The sequence below is a fragment of the Homo sapiens genome, chromosome 5, assembly GCF_000001405.40.
Source record: "Homo sapiens chromosome 5, GRCh38.p14 Primary Assembly".
In the NCBI taxonomy this organism is placed as follows: domain Eukaryota; kingdom Metazoa; phylum Chordata; class Mammalia; order Primates; family Hominidae; genus Homo; species Homo sapiens.
The window spans coordinates 172,158,412-172,183,502 of record NC_000005.10 but is presented as its reverse complement, the minus strand read 5'-3'; the positions used below and the strand labels follow the sequence as shown (position 1 = coordinate 172,183,502).

The following is a 25,091-nucleotide window of genomic DNA, read 5'->3' as shown; positions in this document are numbered from 1 at the left end:
AGCCTGGACAAGAGAGTGAAACTCTGTCTCAAAAAAAAAAAAAAAAGTAAAGTTTACAAGCTATATGGTTTCAAAATTCTTATCACTGAAAATAATCTTCATTTTGAAGAGGAGGTAGAAAGGGGAAAAGGTGATAGATTGAGTGGGAAAAGCTGACTTTAGCGGGTGTGCTTGCTGTGATAGCAGCAGGCAACACAGGTACTCATGCACACAATGTGGACAGGGAGCATGGAGAAATGAAAGGAGTTGGGTTAGCAGGCTGAGATGATTTTTCTGCTTCTTTTTGTTTGTTTTTAGAGACAGTGTCTTACTCTGTCTCAAGGACTGGAGTGCAGTGGCACCATCATTGCTTACTTCAGCCTCGAACTCCTGGGCTCAAGGGATCCTCCTGTCTCAGCCTCCAGAGTAGCTGGGACTACAGGCACACGCCACCACACCTGGCTAATTTTTAAATTTTTTGTAGAGATGGGGTCTCACTATATTGTCCAGGTTGGTCTTGAACTCCTAGGCTCAAGTGATCCTCCTGCCTCAGCCATCCAAAGTGCTGGGATTATAGGTATGAGCCACTGAGCCTGGTATCCTTCTTAAAAATTGCTTTGCCAGCCTGAGCAACATGACGAAACCCCATCTCCACCAAAAATACAAAAAATTGGCCGGGCGCGGTGGCTCACACCTGTAATCTCAGCACTTTGAGAGGCTGAATTGGGTGGATCATGAGGTCAGGAGTTCAAGACCAGCCTGGGCAACATGGTGAAACCCCGTCTCTACGGAAAATACAAAAATTAGCCAGGCGTGGTGGTGGGCGCCTGTAATCCCAGCTGCTCTGGAGGCTGAGGCAAGAGAATCGCTTGAAATTGGAAGGTGGAGGTTGCAATGAGCTGAGATTGTGCCATTGCAAACCAACCTGGGTGAAAGAGCGAAAACTCCGTCTCAAAAAAAAAAAAAAAAAAAATGAGCTGGGCATGGTGACATGCGCCCGTGGTCCCAGCTACTCAGGAGGCTGAGGTGGGAGGATAGCTTGAGCCTGGGAGGCAGAGGTTGTGGTGAGCCACTGCACCCACGCCTCTGCACTCCAGCCTGGGCAACAGAATGAGACCCTGAGACCCTGGCTCAAAACAAAACAAAACAAAAAATAGAAAATTGCTTTGGTTTTGATTTTTTGTTGTTTTTAAGCCTTTTTTTTTTTTTTTTTTTCCCTCTGAGACAGAGTCTAGCTCTGTCACCCAGGCTGGAGTGCAATGGTGCGATCTCAGCTCACCGCAACCTCCGCTTTCCAGGTTCAAGCAATTCTCTTGCCTCAGCCTCCCAAGTAGCTGGGATTACAGGTGCGCACCGCCACACCCGGCTAATTTTTGTATTTTTAGTAGAGACGGGGTTTTACCATGCTGGCCAGGCTGGTCTCGAACTCCTGACCTTGTGATCCGCCCGCCTCAGCCTCCCAAAGTGCTGGGATTACAGGCGTGAGCCACCGAGCCGGCCTTTTTAAACTTTTAAAAGATTTATTGTTTTGCAAAATTGGGAGTTTACCAAACAAATAGCAGCAATTAAGAAGAAAAAAATTACCCTGGGTTCCATCAGCGTCTGTTGACATGTTGATATATTTCCTTCTAGACTTTTGATGTTGTGGTGAATTTTTTTTCCTGCTTGGTTCTAATCATATGTATCTGTAGTGTTTTATTTCTTTTTTTCTTTTAGACAGAGTCTTGCTCTGTCACCCAGGCTGGATTGCATTAGCGCGATCTTGGCTCACTGCAACCTCCACCTCCCGAGGTGGGAGCATAACCTGAGGTCAGGAGTTCGAGACCAGCCTGGCCAACATGGCAAAACCCCCTCTCTACTAAAAATACAAAAACTAGCCTGGCATGGTGGTGGGCGCCTGTAATCCCAGCTACTCAGGGAGGGTGAGGCAGGAGAATCGCTTGAACCTGGGAGGTGGAGGTTGCAGTGAGCCAAGATTGTATCACTGTTCTCCAGCCTGAGTGACACAGCGAGACTCTGTCTCAAAAAAAAAAAAAATTAAAATAAATTAAATAATCGTATGCCAGGCACTGTGCTAGGCGCTTTACGTAATACGTAATAGAAGACAATTATCCCTTCGTAAAAATCACAGAGCTATGCAAAATCATGCAGTAAAAACCAGAGGCCTTATGGGAAGAATGGGGTTGAGGGCACAGCACTTAAAAACTTCATCAGTGGCGTCTTTTAAAAAAAGTTCAGAATCTAAAATCCAGTAGTACAGTTTTACGCAAGTTACGTGGAGAAGAAATACGCACATGCTGCGGTAAGTAGGCATTTTACCTGAAAAAAGATGCACCACATGGGTGGATGTGGGTGCTGGGAAGGCAGCAGCGTAGGGAGCTGTGGAAGGAGGTGTGTGTGCAATCTGATGGCAGATGCACATGGGTGTGGCTCAGAGGTGGTTGATGGATGTCAGAGGTGTGTGCCTGTGTGTTTTGTGCATTCCTTCAACACCTGAGTCAGCTGAGTGCAGTTTTCTGCATTCATCTGCGGCGTTCACTTGCTGTTTCTATATGTAACCAAATACGACCTTAGCATTATAGCAGAATCACTCCCTGGTATGTTGATGGTGTTGGAGCAAAGTTGGCAGGTTCAAAATAAGGGTTCTCACAGAGCCAACTGTATCTTGATGAACAGCTTTGTAGAGTTCTTGCTGTATGTTATTTTATTTTACTTTAGACAGAGTCTCACTCTGTTGCCCAGGCTGGAATGCAGTGGTGCAATCTCAGCTCACTGAAACCTCTGCTTCCTGGGTTCAAGTGATTCTCCTGCCTCAGCCTCCTGAGTAGCTGGGATTACAGGTGTGCGCCACCACGCCCGGCTAATGTTTTTTTTTTTTGTTGTTGTTGTATTTTTAGTAGAGACGGGGTTTCACCATGTTGGCCAGGCTGGTCTTGAACTCCTGACCTCAAGTGATCCGCCTGCCTCGGCCTCCCAAAGTGCTGGGATTACAGGCGTGAGCCACTGCACCTGGCCGTTGCTGTATTTTAATTTACCTTTTAGGCTAGACTTTCTTTTTTGAGACGAAGTCTTGCTCTGTCGCCCAGGCTGGAGTGCAGTGGCACGAACTCGGCTTACTGCAACCTCCGCCTCCCAGGTTCAAGTGATTCTCCTGCCTTGGCCTCTCAAGTAGCTGGGATTACAGGCGCCCGCCACCATGCCCAGCTAATTTTTGTATTTTTTAGTAGAGACGAGATTTTGCCATGTTGGCCAGGCTGGTCTTGAACTCCTGACTTCTGGTGATCTGCCCGCCTCGGCCTCCCAAACTGCTGGGATTACAGGCGTGAGCCACCACGCCCGGCCTAGGCCGGACTTTCAAAGGGAATTACTAGGTCAAAGCATATGCCTATTTGAGGGTGATTTTAAAAATAAAATGAGATAAATTAATACAGGTCCCCTTTGTCTCTTGCTATTGCTGAGAGCCAATTCCCAAGTCCTCTTAGACCCCTCAAGTGCACAGGGGGCCTTGGCAGCTGCTGCTCAGAGCTTAGGTGCCTCTGCTGTGTGCTGGCTTTAGGAGTGATGTGACATTCTGCCCTCCCTGCCTGGTTGAGAGGAAGCTCAGGTTAAGTGAGGTAGGAGCCCTCCCAGGCCGTCTTGCCCGTCCCTGAGCCAGAGTCTTCTCCTTTCACCTCCTCTCCTGCCTACTAGTTTGAAAGCTTGGGTTTCCACTTCCTCTGGGGATGGGGAAGGTCTCAGTCCTCCCCTCCTCCTCCGGAAAGAGATCTGGCCCCAGGCAGTAACCTTGTTTCCGCTCAGCCAAGTATTTTTAAACCCAAGTCCATGCTATTGTGAGTGGGTTTCTAACTCGTGACTCAGCCCTCATCCAAGGGGGTCTGAACTTCCCGTGGATGACGCCCTTCGGCTTCTGCGTGGGGCCCTGCCCACAGCCCTGCGGGTCTGATTTCACACTGGCCGTTCTGGGAATTTTTTTTGGCTGATGCGAAAGCAAGCTGCGGTGGAAGGGATCGAAACAAACAGATGGACCCGCCCTCCACCTAGGACTCTCCTGTGGCCTGGCCTGCCAAGGTTACCTAGATTAGGGGGACTCTCCAGAGGTTGTCACCCCATAGCCCCCAGAACAGCCCTGGGTGGTCACTCTCAGGCCCCCTGCTGCTGAGGGTAGTGGAACAGGGTGGTGGTGAAGGGAAGAGATTTGGGGCTCAGTAGGATCTGGGTCCTAGTCCTGGCCCTATTTGAACCCCAAATAGGTGACCACCTCCTCCTCTGAACCTGAATCTTGTGTCTGCAAAGTGGAGTTGGCCACAGGGCTGAGAGGAGTTGAGGAGGTGATGTGTTTAGCATCTGATTCTCACCCAGGAAGGGCTCAGGAAATGACGATGAGGTGTTATGATTGCTGCTCTTGGTGTCAGATGGAGAAGCTCCTGACCTGTCACTATGACTTTAGGGACAAGGCAGGAATACCTCGGTGTTGATAGCATAGCCCTCATACCAGCGCTTCCTCACCTGGCACTACTGGCATTTTGGGTGGGGTCGTTCTTTGTTATGGAGCTGTTACGTACATTATAGGGTGTTCCACAGGATCCCTGGCTTCAGCCCACTGGATGCCAGAACACCTCCTTGCAGTTGTGGCAACCAAAAGTGTCCCCAGACGTTGCCACATGCTCCATGGGGGAGGGAGGCATAATGGCTCCAGCTGAGAACCACTGTCTTGTGCAGACGAGCGTTCCTTTATTCAGCCCGGCAGACGGTATTTGTTGACCTCCTCTGTCAGGTCTCTGGGTGTGCAATGAGAGAGTTGGGTCTTTCAGTCAGAGAAGCCAGGGTTTGCATCCCGGCTGTGCCATTTAGCCACTGTGTCCTTTCAGGCAAGTGGCTTGTCTCAGCCTCCCTCAGCTTCCCCATGAGTACAGTGGGGCTGACTACACCTGCGGGAGCTATTGTGAGAATTGCCTGAGTAGCTCATACAGCGGGTATCCAGTTAGCCACCGTAGGTGCTCAGGATAAGAAGGCGGCCTCCCCTGCTGCTTCCAGTGTGTCATGGGGGAGGAGACCGAAAGGTGCTGCCTGAGATGAGAGTTGTACAGGGACAAGCAGGCAGCCAGCCGAGAGCGGGGAAGCTTCCACCTGGTACGGCAGGCGGGATGGTGATAAGGTGGAGGGAAGGAAGTCCAGGCCAGGAGAGAGGCCGGCCCATGAGTGGCCCGAGGTTGCTGACTGCTGGCCGTTGAGCCTGATGTAGCGGCCTGATGTGGCCTGAGGATGGGGCCACACGGTGTGGCCCCCACGCGGGTTGAACCAAATTTGACTTGATTGCCAGTATTTTTAAATGAAGAGATTTCACAGAAAATCCCAGATTTCGGTCTTCTCTGTAAGTATCAGATAATTTGATCCTGGGCTGGGCGCGGTGGCTCACACCTGTAATCCCAGCACTTTGGGAGGCCGAGGTGGGTGGATCACCTGAGGTCAGGAGTTCGAGACCAGCCTGGCCAACATGGTGAAACTTCATCTGTACTAAAAATACAAAATTAGCTGGGTGTGGTGGCTCATGCCTGTAGTCCCAGCTACTTGGGAGGCTGAGGCAGGAAAATCACCTGAAACCTGGGAGGCAGAGGTTGCAGTGAGCTGAGAAAGCGCCATTGCACTCCAGCCTGGGCAACAGAGCAAGACTCTGTCTCAACAAAACAAAACAAAACAAAAACAGGTAAGTTGGTCCCTTCTGTCTCTGGGCTAATGATGCTGTCCAAGGGAGTGTTACGCAGGCTATACAGGCAATGGCAGGTTTCCTAGTCACCTCATTCAAACCAGAGGAAAAATAGGGAAATGAATTTTAATGGTATATTTATCACTTCAGCATGTAATAAATGCAGAATTAAAGCAATGTGTTGTATTCTTTTTCATGCGAAGTCTTTGAAATTGGTGGGTGTTGCACTTATGGCACATCTCCATCTGCACCAGCCACATGTCAGGTGCTCGATAGTGACATGTGGCTAGTGACTGCCATGTTGGGCACGACAGATCTGGCCTCTACTGTTGCCTCCTCAAACCCAGTGGTCACTGGATTTGGGAAGTGGGCATGGGCCAGGGCCAGGCCAGATCTGCAATAGCATTTGGGGGCGTGGCTCATTCGGGCTGCCGTGACAAAATACCATAGGCTGGATGGCTTGCAAACAATAAACATTTTATTTCACATAGTTTGGAGGCTGGGAAGTCCAAGATCAAGGCTCCCACAGAGTTGGTGTCTAACGAGGGCCTGCTCTGCTTCATAGATGGTGCCTTCTCGCTGTGACCTCACATAGTGGGAGGGACAGAAGGACAGCTAGCCTTCTAGGGTCTTTTCTTTTTTTTTTTAAAGACTGCACTCCTTCATCCAGGCTGGAGTGCAGTGGCATGATCGCGGCTCACTGGCGGCATGATCGCCTCCTGGGTTCAAGTGATTCTTGTGCCTCAGCCTCCAGAGTAGCTGGGATCACAGGCGTGCACCACCACATCTGGCTAATTTTTGTATTTTTAGTAGAGATGGCGTTTTACCATGTTGGCCAGTCTGGTCTCAAACTCCTGGCTTCAAGTGATCCACTCGCCTCGGCCTCCCAGAGTGCTGGGATTACAGGCGTGAGCCACCGCACCGGCCTCTGGGGTCTGTTTTACAAGAACACTAATCTCATTAAGACCTAATCATTTCCCAAAAGGCCCCTCCTTCTAATGCTATCACCTTGGAGGTTGGGATTTCAACATAAGAATTTTGTAGGGACACAGACACTCGGACCATAGCAGGGACCAAGTCAAGAGAGCTTTGAATGCTAAGCCAATGAATTTAGACTTGGCAGTTTTGATCTCAAAAAATGTCCTGCCTGCCTTAAGTCCCCCAGGGCCTGATCAGGTCAGCCCATGTAACATTAGAGAAGGACTGTCTTTTGATGGGGGAGGAGGCCATGACCAGAGAGGCGACACAATTGCAGGGTGCCAGAGCCAGGATTCCTGGCTGCCCAAAACTAAGGTGGTCCATGCTGAATGGAGGCTGGGCCAGAGTGACCGACCCTGGTGACCGAACCAGGTGGGTGTGGGAGGGAAGGCCAGAGCTGTAGTTGGAACCCGAATCAGAGCTGAGGGAGTGAGGTGACAGGTGAGAGGTGACCAGCCTGAGAAGATGTTTGTGAGACAGGAGGCATGAAAGAGTCTAGGGCATCTTAGGAGATGGAAAGAGAGCAGAGAGGATGAGACAGGAAGGCAAGCTTGTGTCTGCTGCGGATCAGAGGTTGTCTGGGAACCTGGAGGAATTCCTGCAGTTCAAGCCTGGCTCTACCTCTTGCAGGCTGTGTGATGCTGAGGAATTTACTTATCTCTGCCTCAGTTTCTTAAGCTGTGAAATGGTGATGGTAATGGTACAATCACATAGGGCTGTTGGAAGATGAAATGAGACAACCCATGGAAACCACTTAGTCTAGGACACTGGAAGAAGTCATGTAAGTGTTAGCTCTAGATTGTTTATTGAGCACCTACTTGTGCCAGGCCCTGTGGGTTCCAAAGTGAACAAGATAGATGAGTAGGGAGTTGACTTTTGCTCAGTTCCTACATGTCCATCATTTATTCTTCTCGTATCCCCATGAAAGGTAGGGGGATATCCTCACTCCACACCTGATGAAGCAGAGACCCAGAGAGGTACAGTGACTTACTCAGGGTCACATAGCTTTTTTTTGGCAGGGCTGGGACTTGCATCCAGATCTTTCTGGCCAGGAGCGTGTCTCTTTTCTCTTGCATAGCACAGAGAGAAAGACAAACGGGCTTGTTGGGCAGTCCACGGTCGCTTCAGTGCGGTGTCTACTCTTGGCCTTGTGGTCTCTGTGCCCAGGAATGTCACCCTTCTTTGCAAGCGTGCCTCAGCTGGATGGCGATGGATGGTGGCCTCTCATGCAGAGGAAGTGGTGAGGGGTGCAGGCAGGACTAGCACAGGAAGTGGCAGGGGAAAAGGGCGGGTGTCAGGGCGGGGAAGCTGAGTGCTCCTGGGGCCCCTCCTGGCACCCTGGTGGGTGGGGCTGCTGGGACCGCAGCAGCCTGCAGTGCAGGGTGTCTCTGGGTCTTGTCAGCAGAGCAGGGAGGGTGAGTGCTGAAAGGCTTCCTTCTCCCTTCTCCCTCTCTCCACCATACTCACCTTCCACTTCACTCTTTCTCTTCCCCTTTCTCTCTGCTTCCCCTGTGATGCATTTTTTCCCTTCTCCCCCCATAGCTTACCGATTTTTTCATACTAACAGACTATAGCAGGGCTGGCACTTCGGGTGGCTAGGAGTTCACGACCAGCCTAGGAAACATAGGAAGACTCCATCTCTTCCAAAAAATTTAAAAAATTAGCCAGGCGTGGTGGCACCAAATCTAGTCCTAGCTGCTCTGGAGGCTGAGGCAGGAGGATCACTTGAGGCCAGGAATTCAAGGCTGCAGTGAGCTGTGATCACACCACTGCACTCCAGTCTGGGTGACAGGGCAAGACCCTGACTGAAAAGCAGGTTGTCTGAAAACAACAATAACAAGAAAAAACAGGCTATACCAGAGCCAGAATTAGACACTAAGACTTGGGGAGAAGGATGGGGACGAGGAGGGACTTTACCAATGCACTGGTGACTGAAGAGTTAACTCCAGCCAGCCTGGGTCAGGTGGTGCAGGGTGGTGGAGGCCAGTGGTGCCTCTGGGAGGAGCTGAGGGAAGCGCAGCTCCTTTCTGCTTCCGGACCATTGCCATTGCGCTGGCGGGTCCCCTGCCTGCCAGTCTACCTGTGACTCTGTACAGCTGGCTCCTCCTCATTCTCCGGGTCTCAACTCAGATTCCCTCCTCAGAGAGGCCTGTCCCGACCACCGCTCCCTGACCATGGTGGCAGCTGCCTGTAGATTTCCTTCAGGGCTGTTGTTACAAACTGGGATTCTCTTGTGTTTCTCCTTCTTTATTTTCTGTCCCCTCCAGCAGATGTGAAGTCCCTGAGGACAAGGAGTGATCTTTGTGTCCCCTGCATTTGGAACAGGGCCCGCGGAGGGTAGATGTTCAGTTCATAACTGCTGAGCTGCAGGCGTGCAGTGGCTCGCTCATACCTGTAATCCCAGCACTTTGGGAGGCCGAGGCGGGTGGATCATCTGAGGTCAAGAGTTCGAGACCAGCCTGGCCAATATGGTGAAACGCCATCTCTATTAAAAATACAAAAATTGGCTGGGCGTGATGGTGCGCGCCTGTAATCCCAGCTACTCAGGAGGCTGAGGCAGAAGAATAGCTTGAACCCGAAAGGCGGAGGTTGCAGTGAGCTGAGATTGCGCCACTGCACTCCAGCCTGGTCAACAAGAGTGAAACGCCGTCTCAAAAAAAAATTAAACAACAACAACAACAAAAAATACCTGCTGAGCAATTGAAAGGATGAGTGAGTGAATGCCGGGCCTCGCTTGTTGCCTCTCCCTGGACAGGCCCCGCATTGTGGTTATGACGTGGCTACACTCGGGAGGCCGCATTGTGGTTATGATGTGGCGCTGGAATCAGTTCTGAGCTTCCTCCTAGCTTCCCTGCCTGTTGGCTGTGTGACTTTGGGCAAGTCACCTCACCCCTCTGATCCTCAGCATCTTGAGCTGTGACGTCTAAATCAAAACAGCCCTTTGCCCCGACTTTGCGAACATTGATGCTTGTGGCCAGCCCTCACTGTCCTGCCTCACACACAAGATGTAAATGTGGCTGTTACTGTGATTGTTGCCATTTCTGTGGGGTGACTTAAGCTGATCTTCCCCTTCCTGGGGCTTGACAGAGGCAGATTGCCTTGAGGCCCTGAACTCCTCCCTTGCCTGTTACACTGCAGGGTGCTTCTGGGTGGAGGGATGTAAAGCGTTCTGGGATCAGCCTCAGTTTGTTGCTCTCTCTGTTATGAAGATAAAATAAGCCTGCATCCCAGCCTGGAGACGGCACAGGGCTACTGGGGGGTCTGGTGGGATGAGTGTAAGGTCTCAGCTCCGTGCCTGCCCCAGGGTGAGTTGTAGTTGAGGGCACCAGAAGTGGAGCATTTGTGCCCTGGAGAAAGAAGCTAATGCTGATGCCTGGCTTCCCTTCACTCTCCTTCCTGGAAAGCTCCACACAGTCTTGTCTGGGAGCCCAGGCCCAACGCTTGGCCCTATGAGGCAGTTGCCACTGTCAGAGCCAGCATTGTCACCCTGAGGCAATGACCCTTGTCAGAGCTGGCGAACCTCCCTGGTCAGCCCTGAGATTCTTTCTACCCTTGCTTTGCATCTTAGAGGGCCCTGATACGGGGTTGGGGAAGCCTGAGCTCCCTCTCAAGACCCCTTCTTTTTGGGGGCCCTCACTGCCCTCCCCACAACCGCCACTTTGAGGTGATAGGAAACCCATCTTTGAGCTGGGGAGAGGTGACTGGGGCGCCTCTGTTAATGAGGAAACTGGAGCTCCAGACACTGGTGCTGGCCTCTGGTCTGGCTGCAGGACCATCTACAGTGGCTAGGAGAGGACCCCTGAAGACCCCAGCCCACCCCACGCGGGTCTCCTCGCCTCAGAGGCTTTTTTTTTTCTTTTTTTTGACAGAGTCTTGCTCTGTCACCCAGGCTGGAGTGCAGTGACGCGATCTCGACTCACTGCAACCTCCGCTTCCTGGGTTCAAGCGATTCTCCTGCCTCAGGCTCCCGAGTAGCTGGAATTACAGGCACGTGCTACCACACCCAGCTAATTTTTGTATTTTTAGTAGAGACAGGGTTTCACCATATTGGCCAGGCTGGTCTTGAACTCCTGACCTCAAGTGATCCACCCGCCTCAGCCTCCCAAAGTGCTGGGATTACAGGCATGAGCCACTGCGCCCGGCCACTTCAGAGGCTTCTGACCTGGGGATGCTGTTCATCTTACAAGTCGCAGCTCAGCAGTTGGCATTGCTGTGTAACCCTGGGCAAGTGATGTCACCCCTCTGAACCTTGGTTTTCTTTTCTGCAAAATAGGGACAATAGTGCCTCTCACAGTGGGACATAGGCATCTTTACACCTGCACCATCATGAGGCCAGTGCCAAGGACACACAGCCAGATGTGGCAGAACTGACCCAAGCCCAGCGTCACATCTGGATGATACCTAGTGTTGGTGGAACACGGGTATAGCTTGGTCCTGCCATTTGGAGAGCATTTGACAACATGTAAATCAAGGCCTATGCTTTTGGATGCGGCACCACGCGACCAGGGTGGCATGGCCCCATGATAGGGAGCTGCTCAAATAGAGGAGGGTCCCGTCACTCAGTGGAACATTCTGCCACCCTTGGAGATGACGTTGGGGAAGAGTGTTTTGTGCTCCGAAGGGCTGTGCATGCCATACTGTTTGTTTTTTTGAGATGGAGTTTTACTCTTGTCACCCAGGCTGGAGTGCAGTGGTGCCATCTCAGCTCACTGCAACCTCCACCACCTGGGTTCAAGAGATTCTCCTGCCTCAGCCTCCCGAGTAGCTGGGACTATAGGTGCGTGCCACCATGCCTGGCTAATTTTGTATTTTTGTAGAGACAGGGTTTCACCATGTTGGTCAGGCTGGTCTCAAACTCCTGACTTCAGGTGATCCACCCACCTCCCCTCCCAAAGTGCTGGCCTTACAGGGGGATTACAGGTGTGAGCCACTGTGTCCAGCCATGCTATACTGTTAAGTGAAAGTAAGAATGACCAGTGTATACAGTTTAATCCCAATTTTGTAAAGTATGGAAGAATATATTTGTGGCCAGAGAGAGTATAATGAGTGAATATTTCTAGACTTTCACTCTGGACCCAGCCTATTCTATTCTATTCTATTCTATTCTATTCATTTTATTTTATTTTAAGACAAGAGTTTCACTCTGTCGCTCAGGTTGGAGTGCAGTAACGCGATCTTGGCTTACTGCAACCTCTGCCTCACGGGTCCAAGTGATTCTCCTGCTTCAGCTTCCTCAAGTAGCTGGGACTACAGGAGTGTGCCACCATGCCCGGCTAATTTTTGTATTTTTAGTAGAGATGGAGTTTCACTCTGTTGGCCAGACTGGTTTTGAATTTCTGACCTCAGGTGATCCACCTGTCTCAGCCTCCCAAAGTGCTGGGATTACACATTTGAGCCACCATGCGCAGCCAAGGACCCAGCCTCTTCTAAGCGCCTTTCACGTATAACTCATTAAATGCTCACAACAGCTTCTGGAGGAGGAGCGGTTACATCTTCATTATGTAAAGGTATAAAAGGCTGGGAAGTGAGGACAAAGAAGTCCCCTCAGGGGCACACAGCTGGGAAGTGTTAGAGCTGGGATTGGGAAACAGTTCAAGAACGTCCCACCGCAGAATACCAAAGGCGAGTCCCTTGGATTATGAAAAGCTTTGATTTTCTTCCTTGTACCATTATATTTTTAAGATTGTCTTTAACGCACAGATGTTACTTCAGCACCACAAGGACTGTTGATGGAATAAACAGGCCGACTTAACCTCTCTGAGGTTTGATACTGTCTCTAAAACAGAGTTCATGAATGGACACGACCCCCAAGGTTGTGGTGAAGATTAAATGAGTGTCTTAAACACATGCAGGCAGGGGGCATAGGTGGCCCTCCATAAAGTGCTTCCTTCCTCACTTCCTCCTCCTCTGTGGACCCCGGAGTCCTCTCCCCTCTGCAACTCCGCATTGAGTCTCACTGTCCTCCTCTGGGTAGCGAGGAGCCTGGGAAAGGTGGGAGCGGTCCCCTGCAAGGAGGCAGAGCCCATGGGCACCTTTCACGCCTCCTTTATCAGTGATAGGTGGGTTGGATTCCCCATTGGTTTTGGAGAGCTAACATCTGAGGGCTCCCACATCCCCAGCCAAGTTGGACAGGTTGCTCCCGTTTTCAGCCAAGGCCAAGACTTGGTATCTTTGGGCCAATCCCGTTTGGGTTTCCGTATTTTATTTGCTGGTTCACAAGAACTTTTGCGGCTCAACATTTCCCTGAGCTGTGCCAGGGTGGCTGGCCAGGCTTCCCCTCCCTGAGGGAGACAGTGTTCAAGGCACGTCTTTGAAAGCCACGTCATTCTGCTTTTGGGCTTCATGATCTTTGCCATCCTTACATGTCACTTGTTCTGAAACTTGGCCATCTCACTTGTCGTTGAGCTGAAACTTGGCATGGTGATGATTGATTGGGAAGTGGTTTCTCTCTGCTTGGCAGGACTCAGCTGTGTACATCCTGGCCCAGTCGAAGGCTTTGGCTCCTGCAAGGTAAAGAGGTGCCATCTTTCAAAACTGGAGAACAGCCAGAGATTCAGAAATAGAAATATGTTATGGAGAAAGTCGACTTCTTATCACTTTCCTTTCCTCTCTTATGTGGAGGACCTCATTTCTCTCTGTTTGCAGGGAGGCACAAACACCAGTTTTATTCATTCATTCCTTAGTCATTTAAGAATACATACTGAAAAAAAAAAAAAAAAGGATACATACTGAGTGTCTGCCATGACCAGAGTAATAGATACATTGGTGAACAAAATAAACATGTTTTTAGGCTTTCAAAAACAAAAAATACACAGTTCCAAGAGAGAACAGTAACAACCAATAGTCAACTGGCTAACCCATAGTGGTTTATTGATTTTCCCGTGCGTCACTGAAATTGTTTATGTCTTCATCAGGAAACGAAGGCCTGGTGTCCTGGCTTCCGCAAGCACACTTAGCTAGTAAGTAGTAGAGTTGGGACTTGAGCTTAGGTCCTGCGCTGTTTCCACAAATTGCTCGATAGAAATTTGCTCATTTCTAAGTTTGCCAAGATGGGGACATCGGAGGGAGCGGGGTCGATTCCTGTAACAATAACTTTATTGGCTACAGGATTGAAGGAAGGAGAGAGGCTGATGTTCATAGAACCCAGCAAGGGTGGGCTCAAGTGCCTTTTGGAAAGAAGGGAAGATGATAATTGTCTACTCCCTGGACATACATGTCATTCCTTTATCCCTCTCATACCCACCTAGTCTCATGCACACCCATTCATGCCCCTGCCAACTCACTCTCCCATGCATCTGTCCATCCTTCCATTCATCTGCCCATCCACCCACCCTCCCATTCTTCTGCCCACCCATCCATTCACCCAACCTCTCATCCATTCACCATCCCACTTAACTCATTTTCCCATCCATTCCTCCAGCCCCTACCTCCCATCCGTTCACTCCTCCATGTGCTTGTCTGCCCACCTATCTTCCCGTTCACTCCCACTCCCACTGTCCCATCTACCCACTGGCTCTTCTGTGCCAGGCTCTGTAGGGTAGACTGAGAGGAGTCAGGTGGGCTGAGCCTTTCAGAGATCACAGCCAGGTCAGAGAATCTGTGATGCAGATGCCCAGGGGACAGGGCAGTCTGCGATGAAAACCTTAACAAGGTGCAAAGAGATTCTAGTCGGGGAGGTGGGCTGGGGTTCTGGGGAAGATGTCATGAGCTAGGCTGGGGTTGAGTTCGATTTTGCTGGCTGATTAAACGCAGGTAGGGAGGAGGTGTTCTCTGTGGAGGAGGGAGCATGAAGAGGGCTGGGAAGTAGGCAGCAGGCACGGGGCTGAGTGAGAGGGAATGGCGGGACCCTGGGGAAGTGGGCAGGGGCAGGTCATGAGGGTGTGAGTGCTGGGCCAGGGAGCTCCTGCGTTAGCTTGTCAGCAGCTAGGAGCCCTTGAGGGTTCACCCTGAGTGTTTCTGGTTGAAGGCCACGGAGGGAAAGAGGGGAAGGAGGGCTGGCACACTGAGCAGCTGGGCGGGAGACCCCTGGCATGACAACTTTGGTGGGCTGCTGAGGGCACAGAGCACTGGGCGGAGAGCCAGAGCTGAGCTCCAGGCCTGCCAGTGCCTCCTAGCTATGTGACCTGGGACAAGTCAGTTTCTCTGCCTGGGCCTCCCTTTTCTCTTCCATAAAAGGCGATGGTGGTACCTCTGTGTACTTCATGGGCCTGTGCTGGAGAAAGGCGGGCTGCTCGTTGCCCTGCAGCAAGAGACCATAAGAGGGTTTGACAGGCCTTTTTCATCCTGAGCCCGCAAGGACCTGGGCCTCCCAAGGCCCAGGCCCGTGGTGCATAAGGCTCCTGTCCTCTGCTGACTCACGCCTGCCAGCCAGGGGCCTTAGTGGGCTCTAAACTCAAGCCCATGTCAGCTGGCCACCCCGGCTCTGTGTCTGCTGTCCTCAGGTCACCCCCTTTGGCTTTATGTTGGGCCCTTTTCCTGCACATAGTCAGTTCTGCTGTGACCGTGGTTTTCTCTGGGGCCAGATTTTCTCTCTCCTAAATAGAGTCGCAGCCCTTCCTGCGATTGACCGCCTTCATCACCATGCAAAGATTAACTGTGTTCAGGCAGGGACAGCACAGCTGTACATTGTGTGACACCCAGACCAAGCCCTGCTTTGGTTCCAGTGGCCTGAACCATATTTGATACATGCCTGGCACGGCCGTCCAGAATAAAGACAGGGAAATAGGAACCCTGAGCCCTGACTGCTCCGTCCTTTGGCTCTGACCCACACCCAGGCTTTTCATCCGACAGGTCAGCTGGGAGCCTTCCCTCACACCTGCCACTCAGCCAGGTTGCTAGGAGACTTCCGTAGCAAATGATCATTGGGTGGGGTTCCTCTGCTGATTCCTTGCACATGTCCCCTTTTGCTTCCTAGAAAAAGAAACCCATGTTTCAGAATCTGGGTCTGGGACAGTGGAGTGAGTTTTAGATGCTCCCTTACCTCCGAAGAGGCATTTTCTGCCAGAGAGGGCTGGGGGTGAACTTTCTACAGTGATCGAAGTGTTCTGTATGTACCTGCTCTGTTCAATACGGTAGCCACAGTGTGGTGGCACGTGAAATGTGGCTAATGCAACTGAGGAACTAAATTTTTGCTTCATATCTATTAATTTAAATAGCCACGTGCGGCTAGTAGCTACTGTATCAGACAGTGCAGCTCATGTGGGTTCCGAAAGAACGAGGGTGTCTGTCTCTGGAACGTGTAAGGCAAGCTCAGATGAAGTGGTCTCTCTCTATGTGGGAGGCTTATTTGCACCAGTCCCAGTCTGCCCTCGCTGGGACCCCTGTGGATAATTGCCAGATGTCACTGGGTGAAAATCATCTTTATAAATCGCTTGACTTCATTATGCTGTGTTTTAGCTCGTCCCTGTCCATAGGCACATGCAGTTTTCCCAAAGGAAAATTGTAGCCTAGTTACAATTTCATTATCCTATTTTGTTATTTACTATTATGGCTTAAGGATTTTTTCTCATTACTGTATTATCTTCTTGTTTATCATTTAAGGGTTACTTAATATCCCATTAAGTTAATTTAACCATTGTCTTTAGTGATTTCACCTTTTTTCTATTATTATGGACTAATATAAACTGAACATGATCCTAGTACATTTCTTTTGTTGCCTTTCTTTTTTTTCTTTTTTTTTTTTTGAGACAGATTCTTGCTCTGTTCCCAGGCTGGAGTGCAGTGGCACGATCTCAGCTCACCACAACCTCTGCCTCCCAGGTTCAAGTGATTCTTCTGCCCCAGCCTCCCGAGTAGCTGGGACTACAGGTGCGCGCCATCTTGCCTGGCTAATTTTTGTATTTTTAGTAGAGACGGGGTTTCACTATGTTGGTCAGCCTGGCCTCGAACTTCTGACTTTCTGATCCGCCCGCCTCAGCCCCTCAAAGTGCTGGGATTACAGGCACGAGCCACCGTGCCTGGCCTGTTGTCTTTTTAAAAGTATTTCCTGGCCTTAAATTCCCAGGAATGAGGGATAATAGGCTGAAAAGGTATTTTCATGGCTTTTAAAACCTATTTCCAATTGTTGTCTTTGAAAGATTGAATCAGTTTCTATTCTTGTCAGTAATGCGTTCACCCATTTTACTACATCGTCTCCAGTGCTGGGTTGTCACAATTGCATGTTTTTGCTAATTTATTAAGTGTAAAATGATCCTTTCCACTTTTTTGGAGGAAGATTCTTTTGGCAGAAGAATTCCATAGTTGCTGTTGGCCTCTGTCCTACGTGTTTTCCATGTAGGTCTCCAAATCCTAGATTATCAGTCAGCTCTTTGGTGAGGTCTCAGTGAATGTCACCTTATAGATTATGGTGGGCTTGGGAATGAAGGTGGCCCTTGATACACGCGTGTTGTGTGGTGAGGCACTCCTCTAGATATCTGTTCCTTGCTGGAACAGCCCCAGAGAGAGGGAACTCATCTCCTTCTTGGTGGCCAATGGCAGGAATCCAAAAGGGAATTTATCGGCTCATGTAACTGAGAAGTCTACGGGTAGAGTCCGCCTTCAGGTACAGCTGTCTCCAGGTGTTCCACAGAGCCAGTAGCACTCCATTTGTGAGCCCTGCTTCTGCCATCTTGGCCTCACCCTCCGGCAGCCACTCTGAAGGAGTGGCAAGATGGGCTACAAGACCCTTCAGCCTTTCATTCTACCGATTTAGCAGCGCCAGAGAAAGAAAAAGCTGCTGTCCTGATAACTTCAGCAAAAATGCAAACAACTGGCCGAGCGCAGTGGCTCACGCCTGTAATCCCTGCGCTTTGGGAGGCCAAGGTGGGCGGATCACTTGAGGTCGGGAGTTCGAGACCAGCCTGACCAACATGGAGAAACCCCGTCGCCACTAAAAATACAAAAACAGCCGGGCGTGGTGGCGCATGCCTGTAATCCCAGCTACTCGGGAGGCTGAGGCAGGAGAATCACTTGAATCCGGGAGGTGGAGGTTGCAGTGAGCCAAGATCGCACCATTGCACTCCAGCCTGGGCAACAAAGAGGGAAACTCCGTCTCAAAAAAAAAAAAAAAAGCAAACAACCAAAAACAAATTTAAAGAGCCACCCAGGCACGACCCTGTTGGCCTGCCTTGGGACCATGCCCAGGCATCTCTGAACCAATGACTGTGACAAGTTTCATTTTCAGGCGCCCTTGGTTCAGTCCTCTGATTAGCTGGGCCTGGGGTATGCCCCGGCCCAGGGTGAGGTCAACCCGCTATGAATCCCTTGGACTCAGAGCGAGGGAGAGGCAGTGTCCAAAAGCAACTAGAGTTTTGAATCCACAAGGGGGAATGGATGCTGGCCAAGTCCCCCACTGCTCCCCAGCCCCAGGGTCAATTTCCCAGCAGCTCCAGTGGCTCCCAGACCTGAGGTTAGGGGTGCCCCAGGAACAGGCCCCTCTAGGCTCTTTGCTCTTGTGTTCTCATTTACTCTTCTTGAGGCACACCTGTGTCACAGATGAGACAAGTGTCACAGATGGGACCCTGGTCTCTGCATTCGCCTTGGTGGACTCAGCTTCCTCATCTGCAGAGTTGGGTTGGGGAGCTGGAGTTAAGGAGGGGTGGCTAATGTTTTCTCACTGTCCTGAGGTCTGTGATATCAGCTATTTCCCGGGAAGCGGTGGGAGCAACACACTGATCAGTGGGCAGCCGGGAGGGAAGGGGAGGGCCTGGGGGTGGGTCCCCTGCTGGCCTTTGTGCAGCTGACTCTCAGGAAGCCCCCAGCCCCTGACTGGGCTGGCTGGGCCCCTTGGGTGAAGCAGTGTCCCCGGCTGGGAGGGTTATCCCCACCTCCTCCAGGCTGGGCCCCTTGCGGGTACAAGGGGGAGGATTGTTCCCACAGAGGTGCTTGGGCCAGAAAACACAAGTGGCCACTGTGTATCTGCTCGCAAGGGTGTGGGCTGAGGCGTTAGTCACTGCCAGCCAGCAGTGGAAGGCTGGGCCAAGGCTCCCCTCATCGTGCGCCGGAACCCGGCCTTGCTTCAGCCGCTGGGAGAGAGGGACATCGGAGGCCACAGACAGCCGCTTGTTCTTTATGCTATTCCTTGCCTGCCAACTCCCACGTGGGCCTCATCTACTTGGACCACCCTTAGCTTTCCAAGACTCACCCACTCCCTAAGACGGCTCTCATCAGAGCATGGAGAGAGTTGGACATCATTTCACCATCCATCCTCCCCCATATAGGGGGGAGACTGAGGCCCAGATGAGACTTTTGCAGAATATACAGGCATCTCTGGCAAAGCTGTCAGATACATGGAATTTGAACCCACATTGGCCGGAATTCAATTCCTAATCCTTTGAACCTGCTGTGTGACCTTGGGCCGGTGACTTCATCTCTCTAAGCATCGGTTTTCTTATATATAAAATAAAGCCCTTAATAGAGAGTTGTAAAAGTTAATTGAAGGGATCAACGGTCTTCTCATGCCCTCTCTCAGCTTTAGTGCCTCAGACCTAGTTTGATTTTCAGGCCCCCTTAGGGGCAGGATGGCTTTAGGCTGGAGGCTAGAAGTCAAGGAGAGCTTGCAGCAGTCTCAGCTGGCTCAGCAGTTGTTCTGAGAATGCATTTCATTGGCTGACTTGATCACATGCCAATTTTTTTTTTTTTTTTTTTTTTTTTAGATGGAGTTTCGCTCTTGTTGCCCGGGCTGGAGTGCAATGGCGCTATCTTGGCTCACTGCAACCTCCGCCTCCCGGGTTCAAGTGATTCTCCTGCCTCAGCCTCCCGAGTAGCTGGGATTACAGGCATGCACCATCACGCCCAGCTAATTTTTGTATTTTTAGTAGAGGTGGGGTTTCACCATGTTGGCCAGGCTGGTCTCAAACTCCTGACCTCAGGTGATCCACCTGCCTAGGCTTCCCAAAGTGCTGGGATCACAGGGGTCAGCCACCGCGCCTGGCCACGTGCCTATTCTTGAGCCAATCACTGTGGCCAGAGGGAGCGCGGTATTCTGATTGGCCAAGATGAGTCCCTACCCACTTCTAGATATTGTATTTTAGGGACTGGAAATGAGGGCAGGTTGGTCCCTGCTGAAGAAAAATCGGGGAAGGGTGAATTATGATATGGGAGGGCAGTGATTCCCTCATGCAAATTTTCCTAGGCAGAAAATTGCTTGTCTTGTTCATTAGAATTTAGCCAAGTAAATAGTGGTTGAATGAATGACTAGGGAATAAGCTGCTTCCTGGCAGTGTGGTGTAGTGAACACTAGGCCGGGAGTCAGGAGGCCACTGTGACAGCTCACAGTCCTGCTGGATTCCCAAGCCTCAGTCTGCTCACTTGGGAAACCGGCACCAAGGCTAACGCTGGCCTTAACGGTTTGTTGGCAGATGACATTCTGGCTGCCTGAGCACTCCTCAGCTGCCAGGCACTCCCTTGCTGTGAGTGGTTGCTATTGGCTGTGATTGTCATTCATCTTTAGCAAAGGGAGATAGAACAGGGAGCTCTGGACAGTCATCAGGAAAGGTCTTTGGGGGAAATGTTTTGGAGGTAAGGAAGGCTTGAATTGGATCCAGCCTTTACCCTCCACCCCCACTCGCTGTGTGACCTGAGGCACATCACCCCACCTCTCTGAATCTTTTTCCTCATCTGTAAACTGGCAATAATATTTGTCTTTAAGGGCTGGATGGAGGATGAAGTGAGAAATTCCGTTTAAGTCCTGTCCTGGAACACAGAGAGTGCTCAGTCAGTGTTAGCTGTTTTTATCATCAGCCGTATTACATCTCCTGTGGCCTCAAGGTGATGGATTGCTGCCTCAACGAGGCTTTGAAAGAATTTAATTTTGGCCAAGTCACTTTTTGGTCCGTGGTTCCTACTAACCTCTGTCTGGCAGGTTCTGGTCTCCATGGAATCTGAGTGAGGTGCTGGGTAGCGGGCGTGCCTTGTGTTGACACTGGTACTGGCTGAGGCCTGGCCGTCTGGTCAGTGCTGCCTTTCAGGATGGTGGGCAAGGCAAGGTTTGTGCACTCCTGGAAAATGGTCCCCACCTGGGCCTCCTCCACCATCAGGAGACAACATCCCTTTTCAGGAAACCCAGGTAAAGGTGACATGCGGCCTTCTTTGCCAGCTTTCAGGACTGAAAGATGAGTGATTGAAGGGGGGCCCTTGGCCAGCTCAGCATGGTCAAGGTGGTTGCCTTGGTCACTGGCCCTGGCTCTAGCCACTCCACTAAGCCTTCAACCTTCCTCTCAGGAAAGGAGCAGAGCTGGTGTAACCTCTCTTCTGGGTTTGGAGAGGAGGAAGGGGAGGAGTAGGAAGAGAAAGAGGAATGTGTGCAGAAGGAAAGGATTCTTTCCAGCCCTCTGGTGGGGATGTACAGAAATCAGCTTTACAAGGAATGAAAAGGCAGGGACACAATCAGTTAAGACTGTGTGTGTGTGTGTGAGAGAGAGAGAGAGAGCAAGTGAGCGAGCAAGCACCAGATAACTTAAATGATGGGTGGCTAAGGCATTCTAAACAAGCTTTTTTTAATTTTAATTTTTATTTATTTATTTTTTGAGATGGAGTCTCACTCTGTTGTCCAGGCTGGAGTGCAGTGGCGCAGTCGGCTCACTGCACCTCCACCTTCCGGGTTCAAGCAATTCTCCTGCCCCAGCCTCCCGAGTAGCTGGGATTACAGGCACCCACCACCCTGCCTGGCTAATTTTTGTATTTTTAGTAGAGATGGGGTTTTACCATGTTGGTCAGGCTGGTCCCCAACCCTTGACTTCAGGTGAGCCACCTGCCCCGACCTCCCAAAGTGCTGGGATTACAATCGTGAGCCACTGCGCCCGGCCTAAACAAGCTTTCAAAATTGAGTTTAGGGGAGAAGTCCCCACAGAGTTAGAGCCACATGAGCTGGTAAATTCTAGGACAATGACTGGCTCTGGAAAATGGCCCATCATGAAATGTCCTTCCCTGAACTGGGCTCCTGGGCCCAGTGTGGAGGCATCCCAGGCTCTGGCCTGCAAGGGACTTGGATGGAGGAAGAATGTGGCCACCAAGAGTGTGCACACCTGGGCATGGGACTGCCTTAGTTCCAAGCCCACTCTGCCGCCTCATTCCTAGGGTACTCTGCCTCGGATCGGTCTCCTCATCTGTCTATGAGATATTGACAGCACCACATTGTAGGGTGATCCAGGAGATAAATGCACTGACACATATAAGCAGCACTGCCTAGTGCTGCATGCAGAGTGGATCAAGGGTCCACTCCAACATATTATTATCAATGACATAATATGACAAATGGCATATTATTATCACTGCATGGGATCCTGGGGACTTTGCAGCTCAATTAATGAAAGAAATATTTATCTAAACTGAGAATGAGTGTACAGAAAGCAAATGTGGAGAGAAATTGCCTGCTTGCACCACTCCTCAGTATTTTTTTATTTTTTTTTTTTGAGACGGAGTCTCACTCTGTCACCCAGGCTGGAGTGCAGTGGTGTGATCTCGGCTCACTGCAATCTCCACCTCCTGGGTTCAAGCGATTCTCCTGCTTCAGCCTCCCGAGTAGTTGGGACTACAGGCGGTCACCACCACGCCTGGCTAATTTTTTGTATTTTTAGTAGAGACGAGGTTTCACCATTTTGGCCAGGCTGGTCTCAAACTCCTGACCTCAAGCAATCCACCCATCTCAGCTTCCCAAAGTGCTAGGATTACAGGCGTGCGCCACCACACCCGGCCCACCCCTTAGTATTGCTTCCTTCCAGAAGGCTCCTTGGTGGGGTTAGGTGCCCTCTCCCACACCCCATCATAAGCATGCTGTCTCGTCACTTTCAGTAGAGGGCTGTGTCTCTCTAGCTAGACTTTGAGCTGGCCAGGGAGAGGGTTGCTCTGTGTCTGTATTGTGGGCACCCTGTGCAGGGCTGGCCCAGTAGTGCTCTGTTAAATGTCTGTTGGCATCTGGTCTTAGAGACTTCTAAGTGGTGGAGATTGTAGGGAGACCTTGTACAGTGGTGGAAAGTGCAGAAAATTTTGACGTTAGAGGATCCTGATGCAAATTCTGGTGCCACTCCCCTAGTTCCAATCACATTTCCCCTCTAAACCTGGACTTGCACGTCCGTCTGTGGAATGGGGGAAACTCCAAGCCTCGGGTCCCTGTGATGACAGGAATGAATGCTCATTGTCATCCATAGGGTGCTAGATGTGCAGGAATAACTTGGCCAGCCGGAATTTCCGGTGCAGTCAGGTTCCAGAGTTGTTATGGAAGGCAAGGGTGGAGCGTGATCAATATTATCCTTAGGAAGGTGCCACGGTGGAGACTAAGCTATAATATGTTCATTCAGTCCAGAGGAGCTCGTTTTCCCTGTGCTTTGCAATAGATTGCTGTTTAAGGTCTCCAGATGAGCAGCGTGCTTTTAGGGGCCTTTTTTTTTTTTGAGATGGCATCTCACTCTGTCACCCAGGCTGGAGTGCAGTGGTGCGATCTCGGCTCACTGCAACCTCCACCTCCCAGGTTCAAGCAGTTCTCCCACATCAGCCTCTTGAGTAGCTGAGATTACAGGCATGTGCCACCACACTTGGCTAGTTTTTGTACTTTTTAGTAGAGACAGGGTTTCACCATGTTGGCCAGGCTGGTCTTGAACTCCTGACTTCAGGTGATCCACCTACCTTGGCCTCCCAAAATGCTGGGATTACAGGCATGAACCACCGCACCTGGCTAGGGGCCATTTTGTAGGGAAATGTGTTTGTGGTTTTTTTTTCTTTCTTTTTTTTTTGAGACAGAGTCTCACTCTGTCGCCCAAGCTGGAGTGCCGTGGTGCAATCTCGGCTCACTGCAATCTCCGTCTCCCGAGTTCAAGCAGTTCTCCTGCCTCAGCTTCCTAAGTAGCTGGGATTACAGGCGTCTGCCACCACGCCCAGCTAATTTTTGTATTTTTAGTAGAGATGGGGTTTCACCATGTTGGTCAGGATGGTCTCAAACTCCTGACCTTGTGATCCGCCCACCTTGGCCTCCCAAAGTGCTGGGATTACAGGCATGAGCCACTGCGCCCGGCCTTTTTCTTTCTTTTTTATTTATTTATTTTTTTTGAGACAGAGTTTTGCTTTGTTTTCTAGTCTGGGATGCAGTGGTGCCATCTTGGCTCACTGCAACCTCTGCCTTCCGGGTTCAAGCAATTCTTGTGCCTCAGCCTCCTGAGTAGCTGGGATTACAGGTGCTTACCACCATGCCCAGCTGATTTTTTGGTATTTTAGTAGAAATGAGGTTTCACCATCTTGCCTAGGCTGGTCTCGAATTTCTGAGCTCAGGCAATCCGCCTGTCTCGGCCTCCCAAAGTGCTAGGATTACAGGCATGAGCCACTGTGCCCGGCTGTTTTCTTTTTTTCCTGTCACCCAGGCTGGAGTGCAGTGGCAAGATCTCAGCTCACTGCAGCCTCCGTCTCCTGGGCTCAAGTGATCCTCCCGCCTCAGCCTCTCAAGCAGCTGGGACTACAGGTGCATGCCATCATGCCTGGCTAGTTTTTGCATTTTTTTTTGTAGAGGCGGGATTTCGCTCTGTTGCCTGGGCTATTCTTAAACTCATGGACTCAAGCAAGCCACCCGCCTCGGATTCCCAAATGCTGGGATTGTAGGCGTGAGCCACCGTGCCTGGCCATGTGTACTTGTTCAACACTGGAACCCCATGCAGCAGGGTGGGTGAGATGTTTGCTGCAGCATTCCCCACCAACGTCCTCGCAGGATCCTTGGGGAGCTGTGGGTCCTCACCTCCCATTTCCCAGACACTAGCTCCTTGTGTGCAATGGGGTGGGATTGCTTGCTCCATTTACATGATTATTTCTCTCTCTTTTGAATTGTGGTAAAATATACAGAACATCATATTTATCATTTTGGCCAATTTTAAGTGTAAATTTAGTGGCATTAAATCAGTTCACAGCTGTGTAGCCATCACTGCTGTCTACACCTCAAAATTTTCATCATCCTCTACAAAAACTCTTTACCCACTAAACAATAACTCCCCATTTCCCCTTTCTAACCCCTGGAAACCTCTATTCTACTTTCCACTTCTATGATTTCAGCTACTCTGGGTACTTCAGGTAAGTGGAATTATACACTATGTTTCCTGTGTCTGGCTTATTTCACTTTACATAATGTTTTCAGGATTCATCCATGTAGTTTGTGTCAGAATTGCCTTCCTTTTTGTTCCTTTTTATGGCAGAATATTTTAGTGTGTGGATATACCGCATTTTGTTTATTCATTCATCTTTTTTTGTTGTTTGTTTGTTTTGAGATGGAGTCTTGCTCTGTCATCCAGGCTGGAGTGCAGTCGCATGATCTTGGCTCACTGCAACCCCTGCCTCCTGGGTTCAAGTGATTCTCCTGCCTCAGCCTCCTGAGTAGCTGGGATTACAGGCGCCCACCACCACGCCCGGCTAATTTTTGTGTTTTTAGTGAGATGGGGTTTCACCATGTTGGCCAGGCTGGTCTCGAACTCCTGACCTC

General features: G+C 50.5%; 1 protein-coding gene across 3 annotated transcripts in view, besides 4 other annotated features; it reads left to right on the top strand.

The window, feature by feature from the left end:
* Positions 1-25,091, top strand: part of STK10 (serine/threonine kinase 10) — a 146,146-nt gene that overhangs the window by 4,722 nt on the left and 116,333 nt on the right. The window lies entirely within an intron of this gene.
* Positions 3,405-4,108: an enhancer, noted in NCBI's record as "H3K27ac-H3K4me1 hESC enhancer chr5:171606399-171607102 (GRCh37/hg19 assembly coordinates)". NCBI's record gives its function as "activates a minimal SCP1, AML or CMV promoter by ChIP-STARR-seq in naive H9 embryonic stem cells {active_cell/tissue: H9 hESC(naive)}" and the evidence as "EXISTENCE:reporter gene assay evidence [ECO:0000049][PMID:30033119]".
* Positions 4,339-4,448: an enhancer, noted in NCBI's record as "active region_23625". NCBI's record gives its function as "activates an Ori minimal core promoter by ATAC-STARR-seq in GM12878 lymphoblastoid cells {active_cell/tissue: GM12878}" and the evidence as "EXISTENCE:reporter gene assay evidence [ECO:0000049][PMID:35858748]".
* Positions 8,006-8,232: a silencer, noted in NCBI's record as "fragment chr5:171602275-171602501 (GRCh37/hg19 assembly coordinates)". NCBI's record gives its function as "represses an EF-1alpha promoter that drives an FKBP-Casp9 reporter gene in an ReSE screen in HepG2 liver carcinoma cells {active_cell/tissue: HepG2}" and the evidence as "EXISTENCE:reporter gene assay evidence [ECO:0000049][PMID:32094911]".
* Positions 18,027-19,006: an enhancer, noted in NCBI's record as "H3K27ac-H3K4me1 hESC enhancer chr5:171591501-171592480 (GRCh37/hg19 assembly coordinates)". NCBI's record gives its function as "activates a minimal SCP1, AML or CMV promoter by ChIP-STARR-seq in naive H9 embryonic stem cells {active_cell/tissue: H9 hESC(naive)}" and the evidence as "EXISTENCE:reporter gene assay evidence [ECO:0000049][PMID:30033119]".